Source organism: Homo sapiens, chromosome 15, assembly GCF_000001405.40.
Source record: "Homo sapiens chromosome 15, GRCh38.p14 Primary Assembly".
In the NCBI taxonomy this organism is placed as follows: Eukaryota; Metazoa; Chordata; class Mammalia; order Primates; family Hominidae; genus Homo; species Homo sapiens.
In genome coordinates this window covers 100699237-100706076 of record NC_000015.10, presented here as the reverse complement: position 1 = coordinate 100706076, position 6840 = coordinate 100699237, and the positions used below count along the sequence as shown (strand labels likewise).

Below are 6840 nucleotides of genomic sequence, written 5' to 3'. Positions count from 1 at the left end.
TCACCCTGGCAGGGCCATGGCTCTAGCACCTTACTTATCTGCTGCCCAGAAGGTGCCGGCCCTCCCCTTCCTCATTCACCCTGTCGCCAAGAACTGAGGGCCGGCCAGAGCCTTCCCAGCACTTGCAAGATAAATGGGAGTGAGCAGACATTTCCGTAGCCCGACTCCCTTTCTGTGGCTGCCTGGTCCACTTCAAGGTCCGCAGACTCCACTCCAGAAGAGCAGCAGCGCGAAGAGAACTTCTCCTGACATGGAGGTGTGCAAAGGGTGCACCTACGACAGCTGCTCCAGGTCGCTGGGCTCCATGGTCTGTGTGAGCCTTAGCACTGGGAAGGCACGGAGGGCCCTTCACATTGACATTTTATCTCCATTAAAGATGGCAGAGGGATTCCTGTGATGAGGTTAGCTCATCACAACCATGAGTCCCCCTCTTCCCTCCCACACAGCTGGGCTCCCAAGATTTCAAGAGTGCCCATAGCCGGCGAGCCGCAGCCTGGGCACAAACAGCTGCTCAATAAAGACCTCCTGGCTGCTTCTTTATTCCCTATCGGCATGCCCAGCTTCCTCCTGGGACTCCCTCCCAAAGTAGGATTCTCTGATTATCTTTAGCTGACCTCTCTCCCAAGTTCCCCTGCGCTGTCTCTGGCCAGGATAACAGCATCACCACTTTCAGTTGCCTCAGCCAGAGATGTTGACTCCTCATAGCTTGTCCTCTCTGAGGCCCCTGGCTTCTGTCTCCCTATTTCCCTTGAGCCCTGCCGCATCTTTCCACGCAGAGAACCTCCCATCAGGCCTGCACTTGGCCTTGCCCTTAGCGTGATGATGGCCTTTGCTCTTGGCTCCGCTCTGGTGGGTTCTTTCCGTCCCATCCAACCTCCTCTCTGCCTCCAGAGCCCCAGGACAGCTTGAGAGCCTGTACCACCCGATGGTACACTGTTTGGACATGCATAGTCTGGCCTCTGCCTATTTGGCTTGACTTCCCCTGGCCAGCCTGCACCATCCTCTAAACATCCATGCCCTTCACCTCCTGCCTCAACCACACCAAGCCACTTTCTATCCCACACCAGGTAATGCTGTTTCCTACCATTGTACTTTTCACCACTACGTCCCTCCCTTTTGGAACACTCTTCTTCTAGTCCTCTAGCCCATGAACCCTTATTCATCCTCTGAGGCCCAACTCCAACATCGACTTCTGTGACATCAGCCTGAGTCACCCCACTCCTTCATGTCTTCTCCCAGAGCAGGTTGGAACCTCATCCACATTGGATTTATCACTTCCTATTGTAATCCTTTGTCAACCAGCCAGTCTCTCCCACAAGAGTCCCAAAAGTTCTCAAATGCCAGTGTGCACAAAATCACCTGCAGCATGATAAACAGCAGGTCACCTGGTTCCACGACCAAGATTCCAATCTGGGGCCCAGGAATGAACATTTTCATAAACATACCAGGTGATCTTCATGCAGGTGATCCTGGGGCCCCACACTAGATCTGCTGCTCTCATGGGTTCCAGGCTTGGGGAATCTTGTCTTCTTCAGGGGTAGGCGTCCCCAGCTCCAGCTCAGCGCCCATCACATGGAATAATAAATGAGAGACCTTGGCTCACAGCATGGCTTCCCCCCTTCTGCCAGCCAAATGGCTATGGCAGGCCCCACCGCTCCTCTGAGGTTCAAGGAAGACTTCCACCAGGCCCGGTTCACAGAGCTGTGAGGAGGATTTGGGAACATGAGAACCTCAGGCACAACATTTGGGCCCACTACATGATCAGTGAATATGGTTGAATCTATAGCAACATATGCTTCTTATAGTTTTCAAAATGTGCTGAGGCCTTACTCTAGTCATGTAATGGGATATCTGCTTACAAACAGTCATAGGAGTAAAAAAATCCCTTCGTCCCCTCCCTTCTTAGGAATCAATGGAGTTTACAATCTGTTCCGATTTCCCCCAGGTGTCAAAGGGAGGGGAGTGTTTCCAGCCTGCTGCGTGTCCCCTGTGGTGGGGACAGGCCCTGGCGTGGGGTCCATGGGGAGCTGCAGTGGTCCTGGGCCTGTACACACTGGCCAGCAGAAATCACCTTTTTCCCACGCCCCTCCCAGAAGGTTTGAGGAACAGCAACGAGACTGGGGCTGGAACAGAGACTGAGTGAAGGCCAGAGCCATGGGAAAAAAGGCGGGGGAAGTATGGGGGGCTCAGGCCAGGACAGCCACTGGAGGGCGTGGGCAGAAGAATGCACTACCTGACTTCCACTATGAAACCATCACTGGCCGCTTTCTCGAGGCTGGAATACGGGGAGAAACAGGGAGGCTGCCTGAGAGCGCACATCATTCAGATGTGAATTGATGGTGCTTAGACAAAGGTGAGGGCAGCAAACCTGATGAGAAGCGGCAGTTCCAGAAAGATCAACAGGGTTTCCTGGCAATTGGATATGGGGTGTGAGAGAAGACAGAAGTCAATTTGAGTGGGTTTCTGTTGCTTGCAGCCAAAAGACTGAGTCCTGACACTGGGTTCCTCTGCTCTCCCCAGGAGCTGGAGGTGCTCTCTTCCAGCAGACTCCCCACTGGGCCCAAGGAAAGCCTGGTAAGATGCTCCCTCAGAAGTCACCCAGGGCCCCATGAGGAATTAGAAGTGACGACTAAGCCAAAGAATTGAGTGAGTGAGGATGTTTACACAGAGAAGCCCAGTCAGAAAGAACAAAAGGTGTGAATGAGAAATCCAGGAAATCGGCCATGAACCCAAGAGCTTGTTTGGGTTCAGCACACTTTCCCACACATTGTCAGCAGCTGCAAGGCCCATCCTCTGTGGCTGAAACTTCTCGGTGAAAGTGCCAGACCACACACATCAGCCTTTATGACTGTGCTGGTGTGGTGGAAGCAGTACTCACCTACCCTCTCTGTGAGCACTCCAGATTTCCCAGCCTCCCTTGTTATGAGGCCAGGTCATGTGACTAATTCTGACCAATGGACTGTGAGCACCAAAGATGGGTTTTACTTCCAGGACAAGCAGTAGGAGGCAGTGTGTGTCCTCCATCCCTCTCTTTCTGTGTTACAGTGACCTGGGGCAAAATGGACGTCTCCTGGATCCTTGAGTCACCACGTGGAGAAGAACTATTGACCACTCTTGCTGGGCCTTACAGGTGCAAGAAATAAACTTCTGCTTCTTACAAGGTTAATTTATTGCCAGAGCATGGCATGGCATAGCTGTGGCAAATACAACTGGGTAAGGACTTGGGCACCAATTTAAAACTACAATACAAGGGTAGGTCACATTCATATATTACTTTGCAGTTTAAAAGAGCTTTTGCTTATTCTCATTTGATACTCACCTGTTCTATGAACTAGGTAGGTCTATCTGAATATTTTCAAATGGACACCTTCTGACTGGCTTCAAAAGCAATGATAGAGAAATCAATAGATTTCCTTTGTAGAAAACAAAATGTAAAAGAAGACTTTTTAAATCATACTATTAAAAGTTAATATAGACATACAGACAAACTTACTAGGAGCAAGCAGGACCTACTGAGAAAGCTATGAACTCGACTGAGGGAAATAAAATTTTAACAAATACTGAGTTCTTGATTAGGAAGATTCAGTATCACAAATATAAAAACTCTTCCAAATTAACATATAAATGTAACATACTTTGAATCAAAACCCTCAGATGACTTTTTGAGAGGCTTGATAGTATGAATACGAAGTTTTTCTTGGAAAATGAAGAGGTGATAGTAGTTTAAACATTGTGTGTGGGAGAGGTCACGGTGCACTACTAGATAGATATTAAAACAAAGCTAACCCCAAACCACAACCATCAAGGTGGGCTCTAATGGAGAAATAAACATAACCACAAGATAGAATAGAAAGCCTGCAAACAGACTTCAGTACTTCTTATTCCAAAGGGATTCGAAGCCAAAGCTTAACAATTTTCAAACCCTCAAACTCTGGGGCATTCCATACATTGCCAGGGTAACAGTGGCTTATTATGGCAAAGATCCTCACTAGAACAGCCTGAGATGGAAAGGAAGGTGTGTTGAAATGTGTGTGTGACTTTGAAAAACTGCCTGCACACATATACATATTCCTGAAATGCAAAAAAATGATAAACAGTTCAAGATATTGCTTACTTCTGCAAGAGAAGAAAAAGAATGAAATCAGAAAGACTTCAAAGGTTCTTCAAAGACTTAATGATGTTCTATTTATTTTGCTGAGAGGTGGGTAGATGAGGGTTCATTATATTCTTCTTTTTTTTTTTTTTTTTTTTGAGATGGAGTCTCACTCTGTCGTCCAGGCTGGAGTACAGTGGTGCAGTCTTGGCTCGCTGCAACCTCTGCCCCCCAGGTTCAAGTGACTCTCTTGCCTCAACCTCCAGAGTAGCTGGGACTACAGGAACATGCCACCACACCCAGCTAATTTTTTGTATTTTCAGGAGAGACAGGGTTTTACCATGTTGGCGAGGCTGGTCTCGAACTCTTGACCTCAGGTTATCTGCCCACCTCAGCCTCTCAAAGTGCTAGGGTTACAGGCATAACCGTGCCCAGCCCATTATATTATTCTTTATTCCTTATGTAGACAATCTACACATTCTTTGTATGTATGAAATATTTCCTAATACATTTTAAAACCCCTGAGATGTATTGATATCCCTCCCAGGAAGATGTATCCACTCCGTCTTCAGTTACAAATCAATGAATTAATAAATGAATAGTAAAACGACAAAAGATCTTGAAGAATTATAACGTGAAGCATTATCCATGATTCACCATATTTTGCAAAAAAAAAAAAAAATTGGTGATGAAGATGAGGTCCAGTGCTTTCATAAAAACAAGTGAGGAAATAACTTCTAGTGTCATCCTATTCTTCCCCTAGTACTTTAACCTTCCTACCACACTGTACAAAAAAGACATAGACTTCCGATACAGCTGCAATCACCATTTAGAACTGTAATGGGAAAAAAACAATATTTTTTTTCCTTTTTTTTGAGATGGAGTCTCACCCTGCCACCCAGGCTAGAGTGCAGTGGCGCAATCTCAGCTCACTGCAACCTCTGCCTCCCAGGTTCAAGCAATTCTTCTGCCTCAGCCTCCCAAGCAGCTGGGACTACAGGTGTGTGCCACCACACCCAGCTAATTTTTGTATTTTTAGTAGACACAGGGTTTCACCATGTTGGCCAGGCTGGTTTTGAACTCCTGACCTGAAGTGATCCACCCACTTTGACTTCCCAAAGTGCTGGGATTACAGGCGTGAGCCACCATGCCTGGCCAAAAACAAAAACAAGTTTAAACAATTTTTAAACTCCCATAGAAATAGAAGATTATAAATTCTATATGGAAAAATCAACAAAAATTTATTGAAGGACATTTTTTAAAAGACATGAATAACTCCATGTTCCTCAATGGAAATGCTCATTTTTATAAAAGGCTCACGTCTCCCCAAAATAGTACACAAACTGAATAAATTGCCAACCAATATCTTAAAGGATTCCTATAGAATTTGCAAAATGGGTTCTATTTTAATTATATCTGAAAGAAGAGCCAGAGGTGTCTGAAAATAAGAAAATTGAAAGGTTATTGAGATATTGGATATCAAACTATTCTATAAAGTTTTAGTTATTAAAGCATTGTGGTATTATTGGCAATAGGATAGACAGATTGATGAAAAAAAAAAAAACCCAGCAAGTCTTGAAACGAACTCAATATATGGTAGAGGTGTCATTTCAAACCAGCAGAGACAGACTCAAATGTTCAATAAATGAAGGCTGGACCTTTAACTAGTATGATGGATTATTTGCTTAGGGCCCAGCCCAGTGGCTCACACCTGTAATCCCAGTAGTTTGGGAGGCTGAGGCAGGAGGATCAATTAAGCCCAGGAGTTCAAGACCAGCCCGAGCAACATAGTGAGATCCTGTCACTACCAAAAAAAGAAAAAAAAAAAATTGCCAGACATGGTGCCACATGCCTGTGGTTCAAGCTACTCAAGAGACTGAGGTGGGAGGATCCCTTGAGCCTGGGAAGTTGAGGCTGCAGTAAGTTGCGAGCATGCCACTGCACTTCAGCCTGGGTGACACAGTGAGACCCTGTCTTAAAAAAAAAAAAAATTGAACTACTCAGATCCCTAACACAACACCATATACAAAAATAAAATTCAAATGAATCAAAGAATCAATTGCAAAAAATAAATTTATAAAAGTATTAGAAAATATATAGGAACATATCTTCATACTTAATATGCAGAAAGTTTTGCTAAGCAAGATATCGAATCCATTAGCCATAAAATAAAATAATGATATATTCAACTACCTACAAATTTGAGAAGTTCTGTACATTAATAACATCATTTTCTAAGTTTAATGGTGAGAGAGACTCAGGGAGAAATTATTTGTAATGTGTATGATAAATAATCCCAATTCACCAACTACAAAAAATTTTAAGAATTAGTAAAAGAAAAAGAGCCACCTGGGCAGAATAACCAGGCAAATGACACCAAAACACAATTCACAGAAGAAATACAAATGTTACACTTAAAAACACAAGTTCAAACAATGAGATGACATTTAAAAATGTACCAGATTGGCAAACATTTTTAAAGATTGATAATATGACATGTGGGTTTGGTTATGAAAGAAAGGAATCCATCACAAGGCTGCATCACAAGCTCTTAGAGTATGGAATGGGCACCCTGTTTTGGAGGGCACTGAGCGATGCCCACTGACAAAGCAGGCGGCCCTCTGATCCAGTAATCTCACAGTTAGGAATGTACCTGACCCAAATCCTCACACCGTGCACAAGGCTACACATTCAGGAACATTTCCCGCAGTATTGCTAATAATAGCTAAAGTAGGAGAAACTTAAAG

General features: G+C 44.7%; 3 annotated features.

Annotated features, from left to right (window-relative positions):
* Positions 2370-2639: an enhancer, noted in NCBI's record as "active region_10173". NCBI's record gives its function as "activates an Ori minimal core promoter by ATAC-STARR-seq in GM12878 lymphoblastoid cells {active_cell/tissue: GM12878}" and the evidence as "EXISTENCE:reporter gene assay evidence [ECO:0000049][PMID:35858748]".
* Positions 2910-2959: an enhancer, noted in NCBI's record as "active region_10172". NCBI's record gives its function as "activates an Ori minimal core promoter by ATAC-STARR-seq in GM12878 lymphoblastoid cells {active_cell/tissue: GM12878}" and the evidence as "EXISTENCE:reporter gene assay evidence [ECO:0000049][PMID:35858748]".
* Positions 3020-3119: an enhancer, noted in NCBI's record as "active region_10171". NCBI's record gives its function as "activates an Ori minimal core promoter by ATAC-STARR-seq in GM12878 lymphoblastoid cells {active_cell/tissue: GM12878}" and the evidence as "EXISTENCE:reporter gene assay evidence [ECO:0000049][PMID:35858748]".